This window comes from Homo sapiens, chromosome 2 (genome assembly GCF_000001405.40).
Source record: "Homo sapiens chromosome 2, GRCh38.p14 Primary Assembly".
In the NCBI taxonomy this organism is placed as follows: Eukaryota; Metazoa; Chordata; class Mammalia; order Primates; family Hominidae; genus Homo; species Homo sapiens.
The window spans coordinates 74,268,969-74,296,742 of record NC_000002.12 but is presented as its reverse complement, the minus strand read 5'-3'; the positions used below and the strand labels follow the sequence as shown (position 1 = coordinate 74,296,742).

Genomic DNA, 27,774 nt, shown 5'->3' with positions numbered 1-27,774 from the left:
CGATCTCGGCTCACTACAACCTCCGCTCCAGGTTCAAGCAATTCTCCTGCCTCAGCCTCCTGAGTAGCTGGGATTACAGGCATGTGCCACCACACCTAGCTAATTTTTTTTTTTTTTTTTTTTTTTGTATTTTTAGTAGAGACGGGTTTCACCATGTTGGCCAGGCTGGTTTCAAACTCCTGACCTCAAGTGACTCAAGTGATCCACCTGCCTCGGCCTCCCAAAGTGCTAGGATTACAGACGTGAGCCACAGTGCCTGGCCGACAATTGGCTTTCTTTTAGGGTTTGAAACTTTAAAATTGGGGTGGCTTCCTCACCTTTGTCTACTTAATTTGGATCTTGAAGGAAGTGGTGAAGAGGGGAGAAGTGAGAAAAGAGAAAAGGAGGAAGAAAAAGGAGAAAGGATAAAGATCATTCTAGACCTTTTATGCTCCCCCCAACCCTGGGGCTGGGGAAGGAAGACAAATTAAAATTACCTCAAGGAAGTCTGTTTCTACACCACTCTCTTCTTGCCCTTTAACACCTTAAAACCAAGATCGCCCCGAATTTTCAACATATACTGCATTCCCTCCCTAGCCAAGAGGGCTGTTCTCCTAAAAAACAAAAACAAAACTCAAGCAAAAAACCCTACCAGGAGAGAATCTTGAGTTAGTGACCTTAAGACCTTAAGGGGAAATGGGTTGAGAGCCTGAATTTGCAAGTGAACCAATGAAAATCCTAATATAAAGTTTTTATAACCTTATTCGATGTGGTTAACTAAAATAGACTCCAGCCTCCTCGCCACATTCTAGAATAGGCCCACACCTTTGCTTAAATGTCTGTGAATTTCCAAAGGCTTCTAGTCTCAGCGTTGCCCTGGCTCCAAGTCCCTGCTTGGTGGACTCAGTCTCACAGTGCTTCACCTTTGGCATCTGTTCTCTGCTTTCACCTCCAGGAAAGCCCAGGTATGGAGTTCTGCCCTGCTGTGGTTTCCTCAAAATTGGTCGTTTAAGGCACATAGGTGAGCAGCAGGCTTTGTTGAAGGTTCAGAACCATGGAGGGGGTTTACTTTGTAGAGATACTCAATTTTTTCTTTTTCTTTTTTGTTTTGTTTTGTGTTTTTTGTTTTTGAGAAGGAGTCTCCCTCTATTGCCCAGGCTGGAGTGCAGTGGTATGATCTCTGCTCACTGCAACCTCTGCCTCCCAGATTCAAGCAATTCTCTTGCCTCTGCCTCCCGAGTAGCTGGGACTACAGGCACCCGCCACCACACCTGGCTAATTTTTGTATTTTTATCAGAGGCGGGGTTTCACCATGTTGGCCAGGCTGGTCTTGAACTCCTGACCTCAAATGATCCACCCACTTCGGCCTCCCAAAGTCCTGGAATTATAGGCATGAGCCACTGCACCTGGCCGAGATACTCAATTTTTAAAATGAGATATTAGATATCCCTGTTCTTAAAAATCCTCTGGCCACTGAAGGTTTCCCCTTGGCCACCTTCCTCTGTAGTTTCACCTTCCTACCATATTTTTGGCAACTCCCACCCCCCATCACTGCCCTCCTGAGTCTCCTCGTATCTCCTTGCTTCTCGGTTTCTGAGCCCCCTCTCCTCAGCGCCCCCTCTCCAACACACACACACTCACTCCACTCACTTTACCTGTCATATGATTTACCTCGGTCTCTCTCACCTTAGCTCAGAGCCCATTTTCACCCAACTGGACTCATAATGTGTTGAACTAAACACAAAGACCATCTATCAGTCTAGCGCTTATGCAGCATAAAAGAACTGAAAGAGGGCCAGGCATGGTGGCTCACACCTGTAATCCCAGCACTTCGAGAGGCTGAGGCAGGCGGATCACTTGAGGCCAGGAGTTTGAGACCAGTCTGGCCAACATGGCGAACCCAGTTTCTACTAAAAATATAAAAATTAGCCGGGCGTGGTGGCAGACACCTGTAATCCCAGGTACTCAGGAGGCTGAGGCACAAGAATTGCTTGAACACTGGAGGCGGAGGTTGTAGTTAGCTGAGATTGCGTCAGTACACTGGGCGACAGAGCAAGACTGTGTCTCAAAAAAAAAAAAAAAATCCAAAAAACTGAGAGGCCTTTAAATTTTCTTCTCTCCTTTCTCCGTCCCCACTGGCCTCTGTCAGATGAAAGAAGCGGGATCAAGATTCAACTTCCTACTGATATCATTAGGCTCCATACCCCTCTTGGCTTGGAAGGAAAAAGCAGAGCAACTGTTCAGTTTGATTTTAAATGACAGCTTCTTCATTATACTGCATTTATATCTACCAAAACAGAACAATAAGGACAACATGCAAATTGAAGACTCTTGGTGACATTTTTAAATCTTAAATCATGAGTAATAATTGCCTTTTACCCTTTTGGTTTTCCAGAAACGTCTGATTCTCCTTCCCTTGTGCGCCAATGAGATGGATGTCGTTGTTCTCTTTTTGCTGTTGGGTCTTATAATGCTCGGGGCCTTTCTGATTTCACACTGAGGTTGTTGCCCTTCCCAGGCCTGGTAGGTCCAGAGTGGCGTAGGGAACTCAGATGGGAAAGACGGAGGGATCTCTTACCTGAATTTCTCAGCTAGCCTTGACTGAGTCTCCCCTGACCCCCAACATACTTAGGCCTTCTCCAGCCTTGGCTCCATCCACAAGCACTTTTGGGGGGCTGGCCATGCACATGCCAGGCTCTGCCAGCCCCTCTGACCCAGCTGAGCTTCCTCCCTTATCCAAGGTCACGGAGTGTTTCCTTTGCCTCTCTTTCTTTCTTTAGGCCTGCCCTGCCTTTTTTTACTCCCCGCTCTTTTACTTTTCACATGACTAGGCTTAATCTAACTATTCTTATGACAGTGACTCAACATTCTTTTATAACCTTTACACTTATGGTTTTCAAGAAGGTACTCAGAAAAAAATCTCCACACTCTAGAATTTCATACAAAGGGGACTCATGATTAAGAAGGTAATTTTATCACAATGCCAGAAACCTATTTGAACTGGCTTGGGGAAGCAGAGAGAGAAGGGGTGTGGGGAGAGATTGTTTATATTACAAGAACAAAGGAGTTTCTCACAGTCCCAAAGCAAAACGAAGAGCCGGGCTCAAGTGGGTGAGCGCAGTGCCTTCTCAGCCCCCTCTCTGGGTGTACACAGCCCTTTCCCACAGCTTCGCCTCTAGGCTGCTTCCTCTCTTTGCAGCCCAGCCCTTTCTGCCTCTTCCATTTACCAGCTCTGTCTCCCAGAAACCATCAGGAAAGGCCCAGCTAACTCAGAGACCCAATTCAAAATTCACAGGCTTGGGACAGGTGTCCAATGAACCATTCCTGCTCCAATTCATTGTGGCCAGGAGCACAGGTCACATGTCACACAAATACAGCTGCCCAGGGTCATCCTTATGGGAGGAGGGGACATGGGCTGGGCAGACATTCCAAAGCCACCCACCCCAGGAAGGATTCCCGTGAACACAGCAAGTCAGCAGATTCTCTCCTCTTCCTCTCTCAGAGGGCACACTTGGAGTTTGTATACAGCCTTCTAGAAAAAGAATGTTATTGCCCATGAAACTAGGACTCAGGGCCTCCAAGACCTACTTCACACAGTTGGCAAGAATGGTTTTGGCTCCTTTGGGTTCCCTCTCCCAGTCCCCAATAGTCAGTGGCCTGGAGTCACCCGAATCCCCCCATCCCTGCCCCCTCTGCTTCACCCTCAGCTCCATTTCCTTGTTCTTGGCTCCTCTCTTGCTGAGGCCAGCCTCAGCAAATATACTCCCGAGTGTCAGGCAGTCAAATCCATTCACCCAGCAAATATGCATTGAGTACACATGCTGTGTGAACCCATGTCAGGGGCCAGCAGTGCGATGTGAACAAGATAGGCCCTGACCTCACAAAGCTGACCGTGTAGCCACCCATCAGGGAGCCGATGAGAGAGAGAATGTCTGAAAGGACTTGCCCAGAGCTGAGGACCCCAGGATCGTGTCCTGATGTTGACTTCCAGATGGCCATAATGGCTCCCAGATCTTTACTAAGAGTTGAAGTCCACACTGCTTGCTAGTTTGCAGGCCACTAGATCATTTTGTGCTAAGTCAGTCCCCACCCAGTAAAAGCATGATTCTTTGTGTGGCTTTAGTGTGCCTCCTGAAGCGGTCCCCATGGAGGTTATGTTTCTCCCAGCAACTGCTGTTAGAATCCATTCCTATAGTTGGGCTGGCACTTTGTGACTCTTGCTGTTAGCTATAGAACAGAGGGGCTATTACCTGTGGCATTTCTCATTATGTGGATTAACTTCTGACGTGCTGCACACATGTGGGATCCGCAGGGCATTAGAGAAACCCTGACCCAGTGGCCCAGCATGTGGTGAGCTAAACCTTCTGTGGGCAGAAGGGAGGGGCAGAGACAGCGTAGGGGCCTGGGATGGAGGGCCAGAGGTAGCATGGGAGGAGCATGGAGTCTAGAAGCTGAGAAGGATTGGGCCCTTGGAATGTTTAGAGGGAACAGGCTGGTAACTGGTAGTAACAGAGGAAGCATCTCACCTGCTGGCATCAACAATAATAGCAATATCACCTATTGAGTGACTGGTGTACACGAGTGCTGTGCCAGCCAGTCACATTACATGTATTATCTCATTGAATCCCTGCCACAGTCCAGTGAGGGGGGCGTGATTATTACCGCTTCATAGATGAGGAAACTAAGGCTCAGTGGGAGCTTGATGTCTTGCCAGGATCCTACTGCTAGTAATAGCAGAGTCTGGAGTTGAGCCCAGGTCTGGGCTCTTAAAACACCACATGAATAAAGAGGGTCTTTTTGGGATCCTTGGCCATCTTTTTTTGGGTATTGAGGCCACCCACAGGGCCTGACTTGGTGTGGCCTGCTGTGGCCACTCAGAAGGAGCTGGGTCAACCTCAGCCACAGTGCAGTGGAAGCTGCAGAGCCTGGGACCCTCAGGCAGGGCCTGGTGTCCTCTGCTTCTGTTTTCTCAGCTTTAAAACGGGCATACTTGTGGCCACGTGTGATGGCTCACACCTGTAATCCCAACACTATGGGAGGCTGAGGCGGAAGGATTGTCTGAGCACAGGAGTTCAAAACCAGCCTTGCAAAACATAGCAAGACCCTGTCTCTAAAAATAAAATAATAAAATGGGCGTACTTGATCCTCGAGCCTCAGGTATGAAAATGTCACCAGTGGAGCCAGCCTCAATGGGGCAGTGTAGGGGGAGAATGTCAGATGTCTGTTCTCCCCCAGGCTCTGCTAACCTGTGTTGGGGCCTAGGGGGCCTATGGGGTAAACTGGGTCTTGGTTTTCTCATCCGTGAAATGAAGGGTTTGGACTTGACCATCACTAAGCTCCCTCCCAGCTCTAAGACTTAGTGAATTCAGGGTTTGTAACTCCCTGGAGCAGCCACCACTCAGTGACCTCCAATCAACCTTGGCACATTCTAAGTACTCAGTAAGCACTTGTTAAACCAAACCCAGGAGATTAGGAGTTTCTCAGAAGAGCAAAATAATTCCCCAGTGGAGTTTACCTCACACTCTGAAGTGACGAGCTTCCACTGTCCGTGGGCTCTCAGAAAACACCTGCCGAGTGGTGACACTTGGCACTTTGCCTGAGAGGTGGAGGAACAGGAAGTGTATCAGGAGTTTGGGTTTAAAGTTGGGGAGGAAAGAAACCAGCTACATAGCACATTATCGAGCACTGCTTGGTCAGTGTGAGACCCCACAGCAAACACTCCCCTCCAGCAACCCCACTCCACCTTTGGGGCTGTGTGGTGGAGAGGAAGGGCCCTGCTAGGTTCCTCTCCAGCCAGCTCACCTGCCACCAAGGCTCCTAAGGAGGCCCTGGGGAATCTCACAGCACATCCTACCCCTGCCTTTATAAAGGGGCCTGCAGAGAGGATCCTGGGCTCTCCTAGAGACCACAGGCACATAGGAAGCACTCATGGGGAAGGGGGTAAAGGGGCAGTTTTGCCAGTCCTCTCACAGGTCCTCAGCTGCCACCACCCCTGCTGCTGTGGAGACCCGGCTTCCTGCTTGAGGTTCTGCTGCAGCCACTGAGCCTTTCTCTCTCTAGTGCACCTGAGATTTCTCTCTCACCCTCTCACTTCTCTCTCTCTCTTGCTCACTTCTCTCTCTCTCTCTCTCTCTCTCTCTCACTTCTCTGTCTCTCTCTCTGTCTCTCTCTCTCTCAGATCTTTAATTAACTCAGTGTAGCTTTTCTCTCTCAAACACTTTTGCATAATCTTTCTCACACTTACACTTACCACACCTATATTCTCTCTACATATAGCCTCTCTCTCCACCTCCCCAGTCCTTCACACATTCCTTTTCTCTCTCTCTTTTTCTCCCCTCAAACCCCCCTTCTTCTCTCCCCACACCTCCCCTGGTGCTTAACTGGAAACAAAAGTGAGTTTGTTGTGTGAAGAAGAGGACCTGTGGAAGTAGCAGCCAGGGAGGCAGCAGCGGAAGCAGGCTGGGGCCAGAGGCAGCATCGACAGCCAGGGACCCCAGCGCTCAGCTGTTCCAGGGAGCAGGTAATGCCCCAGGCAGAACTGGTTTGCATCCTGCTCTCTGCCTGTCTCCTCTCTCCAGGACCTGTCCATTTATTTGCCTTCTTGTCTGGCCTTGAAGGGGAAAGGGGATTCCAGACTTAGGGAATGGCAGGCACAGGGGCCCAAGGAGTAGCATGCCCTCCTCTTCAGGGATGTGGTCTGCTGTGGCTGGGGTCGGGGTGGCTGGGTGAGGGACATGCTAGAACCTAGAAAGGCAGGTTAGGGCTATATTATGAGGGGTGGTTTGAGCCATGTCACTGACCCCTAGGCTTTAGGCAATAGAGAGACATTGAAAGTTTTTCAACTGGTGAATAACATAATCAAATCTACATTTTATTTTATTTTATATTTTATTTTCTTTTTCATGCCATCCTCCAAGGTACATCAAATCTACATTTTAAAAGAGTAGTTACTGATTTCTGATCCCAGGGAGAATTGGTATGGCCCCTCAGAATCAAGCAGTCACAGTTTTCTCAATTTTAAGAAAAAATAAGGTTATTTTCTCAATTGTTGGTTTTTTGTCTATAAAATTTCTTTAAACATTTGGTGTCTGCTAGCAAGCGCCAGCAATCAATAAGACAATGGAAAGGATGTAAGTTAAAAGTAATAGGCTGGGTCCAGTGGCTCATACCTTTAATCCTGGCACTTTAGGAGGCTGAAGCAGGTGGATTTCTTGAGCTCAGGAGTTCGAGACCAGCCTGGGCAACATGGTGAAACCTCGTCTCTACAGAAAATACAAAAATTAGCCAGGCATGGTGACATGAGCTAGTACTCCCAGCTGCTCTGGAGGCTGAAGTGGGAGGATCACTTGAACCCAGGTGGTGGAGGTTGCAGTGAGCCAAGATTGTGCCACTGCACTCCAGCCTAAGCAAAAGAGTGAGACTCTGTCTCAAAAAAAAAAAGTAATAGAAAAATTGAGAAATTTAAAATTCATTTAAATACATGAGTCCATGAGTTCTGTAGATAATAGTGTGTTCTGCTAGTAAAATGATTTCTAACTCATATGTATAGTGTTTTATGGTGCTATTCAAAGAGAACCATGACTCCCAGGAGCCCATTGTGTGAACATGTTTGAAATGTTTTAAAAGCACACTCTACTGCTACATAGGGAATGGGATTAAATGGGACAACCAGAGGCAATGGCAACAGTAGGTGGCTATTGCAGTGATAGGAGCAGATGATGAGAGCCAGAACCAAGATGGTGGCAATGGGTGGGGAAAAAAGGAGAGAGCCAAAAAATGTTTATGAAGCAAATGAAAGACATTAGTGTCCAGTTGGACATGAATTGTGAAAAAGAAGGAGCTTCAGGAATGAGTCCAGCATTGTCTAGATGGGTAGGTGGCTAGAGGTGCTATTAATAAAAACAGAGGAGAGCAGGGCTGGGTTGATGGGAGAAGGGATGCAGAGCTGTTTTGAATATGTTGAGGTTGACTTGAGAAGGCTGCCGAGCTTCCAAAAGGAGCAGTCCAATTGTCAGTTGGAATGTTCAATACACATGGGTGTATTGCCTGGACACAAGGGTGACCTCATTTATAAAATGACACCACAAATAACGTGAGCTAGCCCAGAAGGAGTGTGGAGAGAGAAGAGAGAACAAGATGAAGCAGAATCCTGGGCAAGATCAAGATTTAAGTGTTAGCCAGGCAAGAGGAACTAGGGAAAGATATTGAGAGAGAATCTTCAAAGAGGGAAAATATCAAGAAACTGCCACGTTATAAGAGCCATAAGTCACATTTCAGTTCAGAGCGGCGATGATCACCTCTGAAGTTCCAGAGAGATAAGCCAGACCATAGCTTCTCAGTGCTGTTGGTTTGATTGATTTTATTAGCTTATTGGTTTGACAATTAAAATAACAAGAGGGATCTGAGGGCAGGGGTTGTGAATTTGGGTGCATGGCAATAAGTGAGATTAACGGGACACCAGTAAGAAGTAGTGGGGACTGTGGCAAACTAAAAAGCATATGTTTACCTAAGAAGGCACCATCATCAACTCTCATGGATTGTTGCCAAGCAGGAACGTGGGCACAGTGATCAGAACATCTGACTTTTCAAGAAAAGTCAGAGATCTGGATTTCTATATGAAATCTTACAATTCTTTATCTTAGCAATACTTTCAAAAAATTTCATACTCTGCGAGGCCTGAATTAAACACACCTTTGAACTGTCAGTTTGAAACCTCTGCCTTTGTCAATGTCCTTAGCGTGGTGGGGGCTGAGCCAGTGGCAGCAGGCCGGGAACTGATTGGGCAAGGAGGAGATGGAGACCATGAGCACAGACCACTACTTTAGGAAGTATGGGTAAAAGAAAGAAGAAGGCAAGCAGGAGAGCTAAGGAGACAGGCAGGGTCAGGGAACCTGTCTTGGGTAGGAAGAGCTGTTTCTAGGCTGAGAGAAAGAGGGTGGAGAGAGGGAAGTTGAAGATCCAGGTGAAGAAAGACTAGCTGATGAAATAAGGATCTGAAAGAGTTGAGGGGATGGAAGAAAGGATGTTGATGGATTTCATGCCTGGAGGCCTTTATTCTCTTGGTGAAGTGGGGTAGGAGTTGAATCAAGAAGCTTGAAGAGAGGAGCAAAGGTTAGGGACAGCCTTGAGGGACACAGTGAGGGCGCTGACAAGGATGCATGGAAGGATGCCGCACTTGAGACTTGCTGAGGGGAAACCCTTACAGTGGGGCTCATGGGCCTGGATGTGGGTGTTGGTGGTGAGGGGCTAAGCAGCTGTTACCTTCCAAGCCCTGTGTCAGGCATTTCATTCTCTTACCTGTTGTATTCCTCCCAGCAGTCCTGCTCACTCAACTGAGTTCGCTTGTGAATAAGTGGCAGCCCCGAGACTCACACCCTTGTCTAGCTGGATTGGGATTCTATTTGATTCCACCACACTACCACTCCGTGCTGCCATCCCCACCCCAGCCATCCCCCAGCCCAAGCCCTCAGACACACCTGCAGAGGAGACTGGGCCAGTGAATTCTTGTTTGGGCATTGCCTGGCTGGTTTGATTGGGAAGTCAAGGGGAAAGAATGGAGGATGTGATGAAGAAAAGAGTAGAGGTCCATGAAGAAATAAGTGAGGACAGAAGGGAATGATGAACTGAGGAAACAGGCTGGAGGAAGGGAAGACCTGATGAGGCCCAGGAGACAGTGAACGAGAGATTGCGTCGGGGCAGGGCAGTGGGGTTCCTGAAAATTTCAATATGAGTGTGAAGATGAGGGGAAGGGAGGTGAGGTAATGATGACTCCAGGGTGTCTAGCCTGTGCAGTGGGGTGGGCAGGGATGCCTTTAGTCATGGCATTGGTCACCACTTTGACATCATGCCATCTCTCTGTCCCTTGCTCACGTGCTGAACCACACTCACCAGCACGTTTCCACCACAGGGTGTCTGGAACATGCAGAGCACTCTTCCTCCAGATCTGCAGAGTGGCTCGTTCTCATTTTTCAAGTCACAGCTCCAGTGTCCCCTCCTCAGAGAGTCCTTTTGTGACCATGCTATCTACTGTAGCTCCCCTGGTCATTTTGTTTATTTTAGACAACTTATGATTGAAATGGTCATTTATGGATTTGTTGACTTGTTTATTCTCTGTCTCTATCACTAGAGGACATGCTCAAGAGAGCAAGGACACATAGGTCTTCTTCATAGCTTTATTTGGCACATAGTAGGTATTCACTGGAGAGAGAGAGAGATGAAGAAAAGTAAGGAAGGAAGGAAAAGAAAGAAAAAGAGAGAAAGAACACAGGTGAAGTGTGTTTGGGAGAGGAATGTCGAGTTTTGAGGTGCCTGGGAGACACCCAGGAAGTGACTTCCAATGGGCAGCTGGAAAGCAGGCTGGGGCCTCAGGAAATGGACTGCCATCTTGCCCAGGAAGAAAGTGGGCCCACATGGTACAAGGGTGTGCAAGCTGTCCTTTTGCATGGCTGACTGCCTTTTCAAGACCAGTGTTGGAGGATGGCTTGCTTGGGGCCCGGTGGGAAGAAGAACCCCCTCGGGTGGTAAGCTGAAGTTGGGTCAGAGTGCTTCTCACTTCTCTCTTCAGTTCTGGTTCTTGCTACTGCCCTGGCTTCGACCATTTCCCATCATTCTTCACTGCCAGCTGCAAGACCCTGGATCTGAATGCAGACTAAATCTTTTCATCTCTTTTATCTTAAAGAGTATCTCGCCCACCTCTGATTCATGGTTACAGGAGGCCAGCATCACCCAGGAGCTGGACTTAGTTTTACAGAATTAGAAAATACTTTTCCCTTGTGCTTGCCTCCTACTCCATTTCTGTTGGCCTTGTGGTCCTCCTGCCTTCCATGGGACACTCAGCAGACCTGCTGCCCCTCTTTTGCAGGGTCCCCAGCTGCTGAGCAGCTCCAGGACATCCTGGGGGAGGAAGATGAGGCTCCCAACCCCACCCTCTTTACAGAGATGGATACTCTGCAGCATGACGGAGACCAGATGGAGTGGAAGGAGTCAGCCAGGTGAGGCGGGGCCCCACGAGGGAGGTGGGCACTTCAGTCTCACACAGCCTGGGCTTGCCTGACCCTCCTGGTGGGAAGTGGCACCTTGTACCTTGAGAGCTTCCTGGTCCACAAAGACCCTCCCAGCTGCCTTCCTTGGTGTCCAGAACTAAGGAGCAAACAGAACCTTATGAATTCCTCTTCATCCTCAAATAAATTAAAGTTCAAGTGGGAAGATAGAACAGTCATCCATGAAACTCTGAGAGTAATACAAGGGCATATACCATTGTCCCTCCATATCCATAGGGCACTGGTTCCAGGACCGCCTGCTGATGGCAAAATCCGCATATATTCAAGTCTCCCAGTTGGCCCTGTGGAACTACCTATATGAAACAATGGCCCATATATGCAGGTTTTGCATCCCATGAATACTGTATTTTTGACCCCATTTGGTTGAAGAAAACCTGTGTAAGTGGGCCCATGCAGTTCAAAATCCATGTTGTTCAGGGGTCAACTGCATTCTTCTCGTTGTTGTTGTTTTTCCAGAGACAGGGTCTCATTATGTCGCCCAGGCTTCAGTGCAGTAGGGTAATCATAGCTTACTGCACGCAGGCTCAAACTCCTGGGCTCAAGTGATCCTCCCGCTTCAGCCTCCCAAGTAGCTGGTACTTCAGTCACATGCCACTGCATCCAGCTAATTATTTTTATTTTTTGTAGTGATAAGGTCTCACTTTTTTACCCAGGATGTTCTTTAATATAAAATGGTTCAAGGTAAATGCTGTAAAAGGGAAAGTAACAAGCAGGCTGGGGTAGACAGCGAGGGCTTCTTGGAGGAAGGAGAAGGTGTGCCAGGCACATCAAGTCTGAATGGTGGGAAAAATCCAGATGGAGAGGGCTATCTGGCAGAGTTTGGGGCTGCAGAGTTGGAGCCATGGAGAAAAGCGTGTGGAGCAGAGAGCACTCCATATATACGGAGAGCAGAAACTGGAGGGGAGCCGCACGGAGAAGTCGCAGGAGCCAAGGGAGGGGCAGGGTAAGAATGGTTGGCACTGCTCATATCCCCAGTGCCTGTGACAAAGGGGCCTTGGGACTTAACTGGACTGTTCAGCAGTGCCCAATGCTCCCAAGAGCCCAAGGGGAAGGAAGGCTATGGTAAGAGGCAGCGGGAGGGACCTTCGGACAGGAAGACAGACTGCCGATATTTCTCCACCTTCTTTACATGATGCCACTCTGCCCCCAGGAGAAGAATTTAATTTGATTTAAATCAACTTTATTAAATTAATATTTAATTTCTTTCATTAGAAATAAGGAATAGGCCGGGCGCGGTGGCTCACGCCTGTAATCCCAGCACTTTGGGAGGCCGAGGCGGGTGGATCATGAGGTCAGGAGATCGAGACCATCCTGGCTAACAAGGTGAAACCCCGTCTCTACTAAAAATACAAAAAAAAAATTAGCCGGGCGCGGTGGCGGGCGCCTGTAGTCCCAGCTACTCGGGAGGCTGAGGCAGGAGAATGGCGTGAACCCGGGAAGCGGAGCTTGCAGTGAGCCGAGATTGCGCCACTGCAGTCCGCAGTCCGACCTGGGCGACAGAGCGAGACTCCGTCTCAAAAAAAAAAAAAAAAAAAAAAAAAGAAATAAGGAATAAGGGCTAGGCACAGTGGCTCATGCCTGTAATGCCAACATTTTGAGAGGCCAAGACAGGCAGATTGCTTGAGCCCAGGAGTTCAAGACCAGCCTGGACAACATAGGAAGACCTCGTCTCTACAAAAATAAAAATAAAAATAGAAAATTAGCTAGGCGTGGTGGCACACACCTGTAGTCTCAGCTACTTGAAAAGATGAGGTGGGAGATCACCTGAGCCAGGGGAAGTTGAGGCTGCAGTGAGCCATGATTGTGCCATTACACTCCAACCTGGACAACAGAGTGAGACTCTGTCTCAAAAAAAAAAAAAAAAAGGAATAAGATTTGTCAGGTCGAGTGTAGCTCTAGAGTACCACAAACCATTGTAATATCTAAAATATTTTCACTCCTCGAAGAAACAGTTTTTGCCCCCTTGGGGGCAATTATGCCCAAGTTGAGAGTGCATAGACTCAACCGTGCCCAGGTCTGTCTCTGCATGGGGGCCACTGTGACACCCAGAGCCTGACAGCTGCCCCCAACCATGGCCTGGGCTCTTCCCTCGCTCATCTCCCTCACTAGCCTGGGTAGTTGCTGTGCAGAGCCAGAAGGCACAGGTTTGGACACCCCCAGGTTTTCCCCACTCCACGTACCATGTATCTGGAAGAAAAGCCACTGGGTGTACTAGTAAATAAGTCCCTGCGGGCCTCAGAGAGGAACAAATCCCCAGCTCCACATCTGGGCCCGGTCCCTGTGTGGAAGCCATTGAATCTCTTCCTATGATGCCGTTCTTTGAACACTTACGGTGCTGATCGATTCACGGCTTGTCTCCTGCAAGTTGCACAGTGACCCTGAGTGGGTGGAATTTTCATTATCCCTATTTTATAGATAGGAAACTGAGGTGAAGGGGAGCAAGTAGCTCACCAGGGGTCAGAGCATGTAGGTGGCTGAATATGGATTCCAGTCCAGGCCTGTCTGACTTCCCACTTGAGGGATAATGGACTTTGTCTTCCTTTCCTCATTTTCTCAGCCCTTTCTCTTTCTGTCTCTAACTTCCAGTGACTGTTTTGACTTCCAGGGAAGAACATAGGTCTGGAAGCAATTCTGTTGGGGTCAGAGATACATGGGGAGAGCTGCAGAGCCCAGGATGCCTATCCAAGATTGACAGGGAAGGGGGACATTTCAAATGACCAGGACCCACCCTGGGTTATTATGTCTTAACACCTCTGAGGGGCCAGGGCCTGAAGCCACTGCCCGCCCTGAACGAGGGCCTCTCCTGCCCAGAGTGAGCAAATAGAGAGGAGGAAATCTGGGCAGGGCCTTCTCAGAGGCCCAGGAAGGGGAAGGTGCCTTCTCCACACCCTGGACAGGGTCTGCATCCAGAAGCCCTAGCCATGGTTGCCAGGACCAGACCCTCCACGAGGGCCTATCACACACACCCGTGGAGCCCTTGCCAAGAAGGCCTTATGGCCCCCAGAGACCTGACTATCACCAAAGGCAAACCACACTGTCTCTATTCTCTCAGAGTGTGGATTCACAAAGCCCTCTGCACTCCAGACCCAGTGAAGGAACCAAGAAACTGTAGATGAGGATGTTTCTAGAAGGGGGCTTCTCCTAAAACATAAAGGGGTCTGGCAGTTACCATCTGCAAAGTGGTAGGTTTCCCTGCAAAGCAGGCTTTCTGAAGATGGCATCTGAGGAGGTCCTGGAAGAAAGGCCATCAGGACCTCAGGATAACCTGGCTCCAACCAGCAGTGAGAAGAAAGCAATGACTAGAAGTTAAAGTGGTCGAACCCAATTCTAGGCAGATCCCAAAGAGGAGTAGCTTGAAGGCCAGCTTGCGGACAGGAAAATGTGGGAAGAGAGTAGCTTTCTCGACTTCTGCTCCACCCTTTTCTACTCTCTACAGCTAACCCCATCTGGTTTCCAGATAACTCTCCAAGGTATGACCAGCAAGCCCCTAGTGAAGTCAGAAGAAGGGTTTGACCATCAGCCAAGAAGCCCACCATGGGCCTGAACAGTTTTGCTGGGCCCTCCTCCAGGCAAACTACAAGGTTAGAGGTGCTTGGGTCAGAGCTGTTTGAGGCTTGTCACCCCCACAAAAAAATAGCAGTTTCTTCAGTTGACAGGCCAGTGGAGCCACTCAGGGAAGCTAGAGATCTCAGATGTTTTGAGAATCTAAGAATCAGTAAATCATAATGGGTTCTGGGCCTTCTTAGAGTAACAGGAGAAAATGATAGGGAGTAGGGGACAGCCCCTCACACAGACACTCAGGCTCCAAGACGGTTATGGTCCACAATGCCCATGTCAAAGAGAATCGGGGAGGGGACGCTTTAATAAAAGTATTTAATTTGCTGCAGGGAGTGTTTGCTTTATTGAGTTAGGAGATTAACAGAGTGAAAATCTCAAATCCGCAAGGAATTTTCCCTGGCAGTGCTTTGTCGGGAGTTATTAGTTTGGGGGATGTTTCAGGCCCTTGGAGGAGTCACTCCTGGAGGGATTTAAATGGCTTTTTGAGCTCTGCTGAGCCTAGCACCATGCACATAATGGGGACTGTGTGTGCAGCGTCATTTCTAATGTGATCAATGCTGGTAGGTCAGGCTGTTAATAAGATAGATTTTTATTAACTCTGTCTCTAGCATTCCCATGAGGGAAATGCAGCTGGCTGTTTGCTGATAATGACCTTGCCTGAAGGGAGGGCTGGATCAGATTGGGTGGGGGCGACCACCTGACTGTGAGCAAACTATTTACCCAGAATTCTATCCTCTCTCATGCCCACCTCTGCCTGACTGCAAGTGGAGGGGCTGGGAAGGAGAATGACCTGGGTTGGAACCCACCCAAGTGTGGAGGGCCCTTTGGGGTTACTCAGAAATAACCAGAGCTTAGCGCCTCCCAAGAGCTGTGAAAGCAAATTCCAAATCCAAGCTGCTTCTGGTCTCAACTCAGAGCAGACCATAAACACGAACCTGCCAGAAGATTCTTATGAGACACATGCTCTGAGAATGTTCCTGCAGTGACCGGGAAGGGCAGGAGAAGTGGGTCAGTTGTTGGGTCAAACCAGATCAGTATGTTTTCAAAAGCCCTGAATGGTTCTATGCACATAGGCAGGGATGCTCTCACTCCATACAGGATGGAGAAAGCTGAACTATCTGTTTCAACCCTGAAATCACCCTCATTAAGATCCTGTATAGTCCAGGCACAGTGGCTCATGCCTGTAATCCCAGCACTTTGGGAGGCTGAAGCAGGTGGATCACCTGAGGTCAGGAGTTCAAGACCAGCCTGGCCAATATAGTGAAACCCCATCTCTACTAAAAATACAAAAAAATTAACCAGGCATGGTGGTGGGTGCCTGTAATACCAGCTACTCAGGAGGCTGAGGCAGGAGAATTGCTTGAACCTGGGAGGCGGAGGTTGCAGGGAGCCGAGATCGTGCCATTGCACTCCAGCCTGGGCAACAAGAGTGAAACTCTGTCTCAAAAAAAAAAAAAAAATCCTGTATAATGCCCTCTTAACATCATTTCCCATCTTAGTATGGGGCAGTAGGCATCCCCAGCCCTCTGGTCTCACCACCCATCTGGAATCAACCTTCCAGTGGAGCCAGAGCTGCCCACTCAGTTTGAAGGAGAGTAGGATGCTGAGCTCCCAGTGCAGAAATCAACAAACTTGGTTCATTCATCAACTAATATTTATTATCTGCAAGCCCTGAGCCTGCTAGAGATATAAAAATGGAACATGGCAGATGCTGCCCCTGCTCTCTTGGGCTCTCAGTCTAATTGGACACTGAGGCAAATAAGGGGGCATTTGGTAATGGGGGCACTGTGAAAGCAGAGCATAGGGGCATCTAATCCAGGCAGGAGGGGTCAAGGAAGGCTTCTAGGAGGAAGAGATGTTCACATTGAGACCTGAAGGATGGGTCAGAGTTAGCCAGGAGAGGGTAGGGAAGGGGGAAGAGGCCTCTGGAATAGGGCAAACAGACACATAGAGGAAAAGGCACAGGTTTCCTGTGGCTGGACTGTAGAATAGGAGGCAGGGAATGGCAGGGCTGATGATGCAGATTCTATGCCAGCCATGTTGCAGTGTTGGAACTTGGTGCTGAGAGCTTCAGAGGACCACAGAAGGGTTCTAGGTGGGAAAAGGACAGAATCGTGCATATCCTTAAGAGAGTTCATCTCACTTTAGTGTGGAGAATGGATAAAAGGGGGCAAGACTTGGCTAGTTAAGAGGCTGGTCCAAGGGAGAGATGCTGGCAGTAGGGATAGAGAGAAGGGGTAGATTGAGACAAAATTTAAAAGGTACAATTGACAAGACTTGATAACAGATGGCACGTGGGGACAGATAGTCAGGGAGACACCCAGAATTCCAACCTGAGCTAGTGAGTACCTCATGGTAGCAGCTTAGAAAACACAAATGTAGTAGTAAAGTTTTATTACATTGGATATTTTTAAATTTTGTTTTGGGGGCAGTTGATAATGAGTTCCATTTTGGACAGGTTCTATTTGAGGAAACTCCAAGTGGAGATGTCCAGGGGTCATCATGTGGCCACCGTGTCTGGAGTTCAGTAGAGAAGCATAAATTTGTGAGGCATCAGCATCTAGGTGGAAATCAAGCCCACAGAAAAGGATAAGGTTGCCCCTGAGGTCTGTGAAGTGAGAAGAGAGCCCAGAACAGAGCCCCTAGGAACTTCAGTATTTGCAGGATGGGCAGAGGAAGAGGAACCCACGAAAGAGACTGAGAAGGGGCAACCAGGAGGTTAGGAGGGGAATGGAAGGAGGGCTTTGTCCTGGAAATCAAGGGCTGAGAGACATTCAAGATGAAGGGAGGGGATAAGAAGTACCGCAAGAACTGAAGCGCATCCGCAGGATGGACCTACTCCCGCAGTCTGAGGAGGGGTAGGGCAGAAGCCAGAGGGCAGTAAGTTGAGAAGAGTTAAAAGTAAAAAGCTGGGTTCACCTGACAGTTCTTCCAAGATGCTTGTCCATGAAGGGCAGGAGTGAAGGAAGCCTCTTAAGGAGAACATGGGCCAAGGGAGATCCTTTTGTTTTTGAGGGTCAGCGAAGTCTGAGCACATCGTAGGCTTACAAGAAGTGTCCAGGGAAAAGAGAGTCATTTAAAGGGAAAAGAAGCTGAGGGAGGCTGCTGGATGGAGCAAGGCGGCCCTGGGCACAGGTGGAGGGGCTCCTAGCAGGGAGTTGAGGGAATTCCAGGCCGGTCTGTGGTTTGAGGAGACAGGTGGGGTGGAAAAGCGACTGTAGGAGCTGCAGATGGCTGGTATACATGAGCCAGGTAAGCAGCTGCAGGCTAGCAGCCATCGCTCTCTTGTTTTATTGCAGTGGAGTCACACATGGAGATTTATGGTCAGATGAAGATTTTTAAGGTTGTTTGACTTCCACCTTCTGCTGATCTAGTGTTCTGAATAATTATACTCTTTGTCATTATCCAGCTGCTTTTATGTCCAGTATCTAACTTGGTCCTTCCCTCTCTCTATGCTAGTCCAACACTGACACTTGAGGCTTATGTTGGTGAAGTAGGAAAAAGGGATTTTTATATGAATCAGAACCTGGATCAAGCCCCAGGTAAAAGGTTCCCTGAAGTCTCAGAGGCCCTGGGTTCCATCCAGTGCTCTCACAGCTGGCAGTGTAACACAGAATGAGGGCTATGCTAGGGGCTTTCATCCCTCAGGGACTTAGGATAACTTACAGTTATTCCAGGGTGGAGCTGCAAAAGAGACCTTCAAAGTCCTGCAATCAGACAGGGGAAGCACAAGTCCACACCCATGGGGACAGCCAGGCAGTGACACAAGGCCATCACGCGGTTGACCCAGGATAGTACAATCAGATTAGTTGGCCAGTGAGTGAGATTGGAAGGCTAATTAAGTGAGGAGAGATGGGAGGGACTGGAGCACTCAGGAAGCTCTTCCCAGATAGGGCACAACTGGCTGGCAGCTCCTCAGAACCCTTGGAGCTGGTCTGCAGGAGCAAACACCTCCCCCAACCAAAGTCATCCCTGGATAGCTCACTCAGTTGCAGCTGTCAGAAGGGGAATAACCCCACCATCAGACCACCTTCATGTCAAAACCCCTACTTGATTTACCTATTCATGTATATTTTTATATATCCAAATATATATTTAAACTTTTTATTATGAAAAATTTCAAACACAAAAAGTAGAGAGAATGGTCCCCATCACCCAGCTTCATCAAAGTTTCATATTTATCTATCTCCACCACTTTTTTTGTTTGCTTTTGGGGATTTTTTTTTTGTTGTTTGCTTTTGCTGGGGTATTTTAAAGGCAATCCTGAATGTTGTAAACATTTCAGTACACATCTTTGTGAATTAGACTTCATTGTAAACACAATGCCGTTATATTTCCTAATAAAATTGAGAAAAATTCCTTACTATAATTGGTTATCTAGTCTAGATTCAGTTTCTCTTACTGTCTCAAAAATATCATATTTCTGTTGGTTTATACAACTTAGAATCAAAACAAGATCTACACATTGATTTTGGTGGTTATATCTCCTGTCTTGTTAGGATCACAGCCATCAGACTCCAGAGATGCCAAAGGAAGAGTCCTGCCTAAAAGCCCTTTGGCAACAGTACTTTATTTTTTTTTTTATTTTTCAGTCTCTGAGACGGAGTCTCGCCCTGTCACCCATGCTGGAGTGCAGTGGCACAATATCAGCTCACTGCAACCTACGCCTCCTGGGTTCAAGCGATTCTCCTGCCTCAGCCTCCCGAGTAGCTGGGATTACAGGCGCCCACCACCATGCCTGACTAGTTTTTGCGTTTTTAGTAGAGATAGAGTCTCACCATGTTGCCAGGCTGTTCTCAAACTCCTGGCCTCAGGTGATCCACCCGCCTCAGCCTCCCAAAGTGCTGGGATTACAGGCGTGAGCCACTGCTCCTGGCCGGCAGCAGTACTTTACACGAGAGTCAAGAGCCCCCCACCCAGCATCTCCATCTCTGGCTCCCACAGCCTAATCTTGAGTGAGCTGTTGGGGACTGTTTGCGATGCCCAAGGGGAGAGAAATGCCACTGTCATCGTCAGGAGGTTTGGGGCTACAAGTAACAGAAGCCCACTCAGGCTAACTCATACAAATGGAGGGAGCATCACTGGGACACTGGGATGACTTCATAGTCCCCAGGGGCATGATCTCTCAAGGGCTGGGTCTGGGAAGCTGGCCTGTCCTCTTTCTCTCTGCTTCTGGTCTCTGCTTCTCTCAGGGCATCTTCTTTACTCTTCTGCAACCAGCTTCTTCTGCTTGTCCCTGCCTTTGGCCAATCCTCAGCTTCCATGTTCACATCCACCCTACTCAAGGGACCATCCCACAGCGATTCCAAATTCTTCATGGAGAATCTGATCTGTCCAACTTTGATTGCCCTATCACTGGGACCCAGATCAGAGGTAGGAGGTATGGGGAGGACTCGCTATATCCTAGAGAGCACATCCCCATGGAAGACAGGGAGAGCAGACACCCCAAATATGTCTTTCATACCTGTAGTAATGAAGATATACACTTAACGTAAGCAATCCTTTGGCCACAGTTCTGCCTCTAATACCAACCAGAACTTTCAGAATTCTTCAAGTTGCCTATGAGAGTATAGGTGGTGCAATTTTACAAACTCAAACTCATCTTCCTCTTGAAGGAGAGAGAGACCACACCCCATCTCTGTCCATGGAGATCTGCTGATGTAACTGCAGCACTACATCAATCCCTAGAGCAGCGGAAAGGTGGAAGCTCTAACTTCTGAGTCTAGGAGAGCTTTGGAGAGGTTGTTTTATCCACACCTTTCTTCTTTCATTCCAAAAATAGTTGAGGGGATGTTGTGTTAGGTCCTGTGGGAGAATTAAAATGAGTAAAATATGAATCTGTTCTTAAAGAGCTTATGATCTAGTACAGGTATCAGCAAACATGTTCAGTTAATGGCCAGACAGAAAATATTTTAGGCTTTTTGTGCACAGATGATCTCTTCCCCTGTCCTTTTATTTCCCCTCCTCTCCCCGCTCCTCTTCTCTTTTTCTCTCCTTCTCCTCTCCTTTCTCTCTTCTGCCTACTCTTTCTCCTTCTTTACAATGCTTTAAATATATAAAAACCATGCTTAGCTAGCTGGCCATACAAAAACAGGCTGTGGGGTGCTTGGAGCCCATGAGACATGATATTTCAACCCCAATCTGGTATAAAGCAGGCATGTGCTCATACACACAGCTAACTAAAACCCAGGGTGGTATGTGCAAAGTGGTGAGAACAGGCTCTAGAATCTAAAGACATGCCTTCAAACCCTGTCTCTTATGAGCTGCATGACCTTGGGCAGGCTCCTCATCCTCTAAGGGTCTCAGTCTCCTCACCTGTACAATGAAATAGTCACAGACCTACCTCATGAGACAGATTTAAGGATTAAATGAGATAATACCTGTTAAGTGCTTAGCATAGTGCCTGGCACATAGAAAGCCCTCAGTAAGCTTTAGCTGTTGTCGTGATTAGGAAGTGTTATGTGATAAATGATAAAAAGTGTGATGCGAGTTAGAGGAAAGAGAGGTCTCCTCAACCTTGGCCCTTGGGAAGGCATTGTCTTCCCAACTGGGAAGGAGAGGTGACTTTTGAACTTGGCCCAGAATAGCAGAGGTGGAAGAGAGTGCCTAGGTGAGGAGAGGGCCTCTCCTGAGAGGCAGTGAAGGGAGGTACCAGCAGACTCTGAGGGAGGCAGACCACTGCGTAGATGACAGTCCCATGGGGCAATTACAGGGACTTCCTGGATACACAGACAAGTGGCCCTCAGAGAGGTTTTGGTTCCAGAAGCCTCTCCTTGAAGGAGCCCATTCAGAATTTTTCAGTAACTTTGTCTGATGACATTCACTTAGCTGTGGGCTCTCCTTCAACCCTGAATGAGGACATGGTGTGCAGGAGGATGGACCCTTCACCAAATGCATGAGCTTGGGAGCAGAGGCCACCCCCATTCCATTCACCACAGCTCCCTCGAATGCCACACCTCTGCCCCATCACCACCAGCTGTGCCACTGCAGTTCATCACTGTCTGGGAAGGAGTGTTTCTCCTGTAATGCCCAAACTGTACTGCATCACCAAAGGCCCTCAGCGGAGGTTCCTAGGCCACCAAAAGGAAAGACTTTCATTCAAAGGGAATCAGTCAGCCATGGGAGGAAGTGGGGTTCATTGCAGAACAATCTAAGACAGAAGGCCCTATCAATCTGATCCTAGTCCTAGACATATCTCATGAGTAGAGATGAAAGATCATCCTAAGTCTATTAAACACTGGAATCACTTAACTAATGATTAACTCATTCTGATTCTATATTCAGCAACTTTTTGGTGATAATTTGGCTTACCCTGTATATCTGCCCATGAGGAGAGAATGCAAAGGCTAGAGGATGAACATAACAAACCCCTATAACGATTGTAAATCTCACTGTAAATTAAATAAATTGGCCTTCAGGTTTATGCATCAGCCTTTGTGATCTTGGTTAGCATTAGACAGTGTCACTGGACCTAATCATCTTTGGGACACTAAAAAGATAAAATTTCTGAGCCTGGACCGGGGTGGGTGCCCCAAGAGGCCTGTGAGGCCTTTCTGGTGCTCATCAGCCCCTTCTGGTAGCTTCTGAACTTCTCCATATGTGTGCTGACCCTTGACCCATGCCTGCCCCCTCAGTCTTTTATACTTTATAATCTTTCAAATTTACTGCCAAGTTTGGTTTATTAACATATACATGGTATGCAAAGTCATAATCCGTTGTAGAAACAACTTGTTGTACTATCTCACATACATATTTTCATGCATGTGATTTTATGTAGCATGAATTAGCCAAATAAATTGTAAGAATGGGCCAGAATTTGCTTAGGTGTTTCTCCCGTTTTTTTGAGACAGAGTCTTGCTCTGTTGCCCAGGCTAGAGTGCAGTGGCACCATCTCAGCTCACTGTAACTTCCGCCTGCTGGGCTCAAGTGATTCTCCTGCCTCAGCCACCTTGGGCAGGCTCCTCATCCTCTAAGGGTCTCAGTCTCCTCACCTGTACAATGAGAATAGTCACAGACCTACCTCGTGAGATAGATTTAAGGATTAGATGAGATAATACATGTTAAGTGCTTAGCATAGTGCTTGGCTGGGAGTAGCTGGGATTACAGGCATGCACAACCACGCCTGGCTAATCTTTGTATTTTTAGTACAGACAGGGTTTTGCCATGTTGGCCAGGCTGGTCTCAAAACTCCTGACCTCAAGGGATCTGCCTGCCTTGGCCTCCCAAAGTGCTGGGATTATAGGCGTGAGCCACCAGGCCCGGCCTCAGGTGTTCCCCTTTTGAAAAATCTTCCTTCCACAGATCATTTTTTAGTGCCTCTGTCAAAGACTGAACCAGGGGAGTATCTGATGATTCCTCAGACATCTCTAGGAAAATTCTTAACGGGCTTCTAAGTGAATTAATACTGGTCTTCAGTATCTGTTGGGAAATTCAGTATCCTGATATGACTCATATGAAGTTAAAAAACTTTGCTGGATATTGAAGGAAAACTTACATTTCTTACTTTTAAGAAATGAATTTGTTGGAGTTACAAAATGTATTACAGGCCTTAGGCAGAAAGCACAAACATGTCTTGATGCTTTGTAACTAATACACAGAAGTCAAGCTTTTGGGTAATGGGGCGGGGTGGGAGAGTTACAGAATAAAGTTGGTGAGGCCACATAGATAGAGTGACCACAGGGATATATACTTTACAAATTTTAGCTGAGTAAACTTCATGAAAGAAACAAATTCACACAAATGTAATTCTTAAAACAAATGTTTGGAGGCAACATAGCCTTAGCATTAAAGGTTACATACATTGGGAGATTACATTTTTTAAATTAGAATGTCCTAGGGGGGATTTTGCAAACAAACTAACCAAGACACTATTTAATTATAATGATATTCAAAATAGTATAGATAGAAGCTTCTCTTCAATCACAATGTTTATGTATATTCTCCAGATTTTACTCTTATCTAACTACACATAATGGGCAGCCTGTTGTTTTATCATCTCAAGGATCTGTGTCTTCCTTTTAAAAAATATTGATGTCTGATTGTCAGTCCCCTGAGATTCTGATGTAATTAGTCTGAGATTCAGCCTGGGTTTTAGAATTTGTAAAAAGCTCCCAGATGATCCTAATGCAGCCATTGAAAACTGCTGATACTTACTCTAGCCCAGCAGGATCAGTGGGAGTTACGAAGTTTCCATCTGAGGAGACAACTAGAATAGAGGTCTCTTGGTTTTCAGCCCTTTCCAGATCCTCCTTGAAGGAGAACCTCCTCTTCTCCCATCCTGTGGTTTGAGCATTGGAAGCCTTGACTGTACCTGGTAGCTAGCGCCATGATGCTTTCTCCTGCTCTTGTTATTAATTGAACAGCAATGTCCTCTAATTATATCTCTGACCGAGTTACTAGGCACAGAAAAGGCCTCAGTTCTGGCCCTGCTTTGTGTGACAGAGAGCTGCTTTCTGTGACAAGTGACATTTCAAGGTTCCTTTTAGCTACATTCCAGTCAGGAGCGGGGCACCTGGTGCCCACCCTGGCATGCAGAGTTGGGGGTCTACACCCAAGCTTGGGCAAAATCCCTAAAAGTTAAAGCTTTGCTGGATAATGAAGGAGAACGTGGAGATTTTCTTTCCACTTGACCTGCTTCCCCAACTCTAATACCCCACTTTTTGAAGCCAACCATGGTACACAGTTCACTTTGCAATGAGTTGTTTGGGATTACACATGAACCTTATTATCAGGCTTTTGCAAGTTTTTAAACTTGGCTTTGACCAGAGGCTTTTTACAGAGGCCATTCCTTTATTCATTCTGGAGAATGTTTAAGGATTTTATTATGGAAAATTCAAATTTATACAAAAGTAGTATATAGCAGAATGAACCCCCACCTGCCCATCACCCAGCTTCAACAGTTAACAGCTAACTCATAGCAATTCTTGTTTCTCTGTCCCCCACCTACTACCCCAGACACACAGACACACATGCTAGGTCAGGTTGACACAAATCCCAGACACCACATCATTCCATCTGTAAATATTTCATTATGTCTCTAAAAGATAAGGCCTCTTTCTTTCTTTTTAGAGATAGGGTCTTTCTCTGTCACTTCAGCTTCATTGCAGTGGTGCGATCACAGCTCACTGCAGCCTCAAACTCCTGGACTTAATCCTCCTACCTCAGCCTCCTGAGTAGCTGGGACTACAGGCATATGCCACCACACCTGGCTAATTATTTTATTTTTTGTATAGTGGAGTCTTGCTTTGTTTCTCAGGCAGGTCTCAAGCAATCCTCCCACCTCAGCCTCCCAGAGCGCTGGGATTACAAGTGTGAGCCACCATGCCCGGCTTCTGAGTATTTTTAAATATACTTAAACAAAATGAGTTTTAAGCTTTTTTTCCCCAGTCATTTCCTCATAGCGAGATCTCACCCAAAGTGATCAGTGAGGTCTTGCTACCCTCAAGCAGAAGGGAGCAAGCATTTAATGCAATTGATCTGGGCAGGAGACCATAAGGGGACACCAGAGAGGAAGAAATGGCACCTGTCTTCAAAAAGCTTAATGTATATTTGGCATTTGTTATATACCAAAACAATCATAAAACATGATTGGCTACAATTAATTATTAATTTAGGCACTGAGCCTGAATTAATTAATTATTTTAGGCTCTGAGCCTAAGAAGTTAGAAACTTTACCTAGGATAGTCTGGAGCACAGAGTTGCCTGGATCCCACCCGTTTTTATTCTGATGTCAACTGGTCTAGGATATGACTGAGACATGAAGATTTTAAAGGCATCTAGGGTATTCTTATATGCAAGCAAGCTTAAGAATCACTGTCCTAGAACAGTGGTTTCTAAAGTGCTTCAGGTTGAGAACCATCCTAGGGTGTTATAGGAGAAATAAGCAGAATAACTGGCAGAGGCTTTGTGGAGGAAGGGGCATTCTCGCTGGGCAGTGGAAAACAGAGAGGAAAGAGGACATTCTACATGATCTCAGAGGTGATCTGCAGACCAGCAGCATGAGCACACCTAGGAGCTTATTAGAAATGTAGAATCTTTGACCTCATTCCAGACCTGCTCAATGAGGATCTGCATTTTGACAAGATCCCCATGCACATTAGAGTTTGAGGCACACTGGTGTAGTAGAATATGTACTGTAAATGGACTTCAGTTATAAAATCAGAGAAACTAAAGCATAGCATGACTGTGCTAGAAAGGAGACCCTTTCAGCTAGTGTTCTTGGAGCCATTCTAAGGGAAAGAGGCCATGTCCTGCTGTATAATGAGAATCAGATCCATGTGAGCTACGTTTGCCTGCGTTGGGACCCCATATAAGTTGAACTATCCCTAAGTCACACCATTCTATGTACCTACAGAGCAGGGGCTCCTGAACCCACAGGGTGCAGTCAGATAACCCGGGAGTTTCCATGGCAGGGTCACCCTCCTGGTGGGGTAACCATCCAGGCATTGGTTTTTGTTTTGTTTTGTTTTGTTTTGAGACGGAGTCTCGCTCTGTCATCCAGGTTGGAGTGCAGTGGCATGATCTCTGCTCACTGCAAGCTCCGCCTCCCGGGTTCACGCCATTCTCCTGCCTCAGCCTCCTGAGTAGCTGGGACTACAAGCGCCTGCCACCACGCCTGGCTAATTTTTTGTATTTTTAGTAGAGACAGGGTTTCACCATGTTAGCCAGGATGGTCTCGATCTCCTGACCTCGTGATCCGCCTGCCTCTGCCTCCCAAAGTGCTGGGATTACAGGCATGAGCCACCGCGCCCAGCCCCAGGCATTGGTATTTTTATAAATCTCTCCAAGTTATTCTAATGGACAGCCAAGGTTGAAAACCATTGCTATGGATCTTTGGTCCTCCATGTTTCCTTTTCCATTCAAGGTGAAAGTGAGCTAAATTTCTAGCTGTAGCCATTGAAAACACAAAATTAAGTTCCAGGTAGCAAGCTTAATGGTTCAACATCTGGATTCCCAAAATAGTTATAGAGGGGACTAGAGCGGTGTCCCTAGTTAAATGGTCTCATATTCCGGAATTTCTTAAATCAAATTTTCTGGATTCTGGTAGCAGAGTCTAGTTCTGGCATTGGCTTAAAATTGGAGACAAGTAATTTAGTGTTTATGCAGGCTATTCTCATGTGGGTTATCGCCCTTGTCTGTGTGTCTATGGGGTTAATGTTTGGTGTATGCCTAACACAGTACAAATAGTTGAAGTCCTGAGAGGTGGAGAGGACTGCATGTCTTTGCTATCTGCTATCTGGAGTTAGTAGAGGATGTTTCAAAGAGGAAGCATTGCTCTTATCACTCCTTCAGGTGGAGTTGCATTTGTATGGGCAGAAGACTGAAGAATGGGATGTCAGGGGAGAGAGCTGCCTGAGACTGTCTGGCCTAGGATGTTTGTGAGACAGTGAAGACAGCAACCCACTCAACTGGCCCCATGCACTGGGCCACATCACACCTTTAGGTGGGTGGGTAAGACCATGGAGTAGCAAAAGAGTCTTTGGGAGCAGGGTGACAGTTCAGTTTATCTTTTGTATTATTTTTGAGAAAAAAAAAACAATAAAAGGCAAGCTGAATAGGAGGTCGATCCTCAGGAAGAAAAGTTGAGCATCCTCTCAACTAAAACATTTGGACTGGCCGGGCGCGGTGGCTCACGCCTGTAATCCCAGCACTTTTAGAGGCGGAGGTGGGTGGACCACCTGAGGTCAGGAATTTGAGACCAGCCTGACCAACATAATGAAACCCTGTCTCTACTAAAAAACAAACAAACAAACAAACAAACAAACAAAAAACAAACAGCCGGGCCTGGTGGCAGGCACCTGTAATCCCAGCTACTCAGGAGGCTGAAACAGGAGATCACTTGAACCACGGAGGCAGAGGTTGCAGTGAGCCAAGCTTGCACCATTGCACTCCAGCCTGGGCGATGAGAGTGAAACTCCGTCTCAAAAAAAAAAAAATTTTGAACTTATCCTTTGGTCTATTCCTTGTAAACTCTTATGTTAATATACCTTTTAGAAACATCTTACTTTCGATATCACATAGTCTTGGATCTGCCATAATTTAAATGATATTTCCCAAACAGATTTCTCCACAAAAAGGTCAGCTACAACTTGTCTGCCTGGTCTCTGGCTCCAGCCCCCATGTTTCAGGTCTTCACCTCCCAGTCCTTCTCTAATTAGATCTCCCCATTCTGTGTCCA

At 47.2% G+C, this 27,774-nt stretch overlaps 1 protein-coding gene across 3 annotated transcripts in view, besides 4 other annotated features; it reads left to right on the top strand.

The window, feature by feature from the left end:
* SLC4A5 (solute carrier family 4 member 5) overlaps positions 1–27,774 on the top strand; it is a 127,175-nt gene that overhangs the window by 46,674 nt on the left and 52,727 nt on the right. For 2 of the 3 annotated variants that reach the window (NM_133478.3, NM_021196.3), the window contains one exon: positions 10,841–10,970. In NM_133478.3, coding sequence (NP_597812.1) covers positions 10,841–10,970 — 130 coding nt within the window. Of the gene's footprint in view, positions 1–6,394; positions 6,500–10,840; positions 10,971–27,774 lie in introns of those variants that run through there. The other variant, NM_001386136.1, reaches the window with a different exon arrangement.
* Positions 5,965–6,465: an enhancer, noted in NCBI's record as "H3K4me1 hESC enhancer chr2:74517405-74517905 (GRCh37/hg19 assembly coordinates)". NCBI's record gives its function as "activates a minimal SCP1, AML or CMV promoter by ChIP-STARR-seq in naive H9 embryonic stem cells {active_cell/tissue: H9 hESC(naive)}" and the evidence as "EXISTENCE:reporter gene assay evidence [ECO:0000049][PMID:30033119]".
* Positions 6,161–6,220: an enhancer, noted in NCBI's record as "active region_16052". NCBI's record gives its function as "activates an Ori minimal core promoter by ATAC-STARR-seq in GM12878 lymphoblastoid cells {active_cell/tissue: GM12878}" and the evidence as "EXISTENCE:reporter gene assay evidence [ECO:0000049][PMID:35858748]".
* Positions 6,466–6,966: an enhancer, noted in NCBI's record as "H3K4me1 hESC enhancer chr2:74516904-74517404 (GRCh37/hg19 assembly coordinates)". NCBI's record gives its function as "activates a minimal SCP1, AML or CMV promoter by ChIP-STARR-seq in naive H9 embryonic stem cells {active_cell/tissue: H9 hESC(naive)}" and the evidence as "EXISTENCE:reporter gene assay evidence [ECO:0000049][PMID:30033119]".
* Positions 9,834–9,968: a silencer, noted in NCBI's record as "fragment chr2:74513902-74514036 (GRCh37/hg19 assembly coordinates)". NCBI's record gives its function as "represses an EF-1alpha promoter that drives an FKBP-Casp9 reporter gene in an ReSE screen in phorbol 12-myristate 13-acetate-treated (for megakaryocytic differentiation) K562 erythroleukemia cells {active_cell/tissue: K562(+PMA)}" and the evidence as "EXISTENCE:reporter gene assay evidence [ECO:0000049][PMID:32094911]".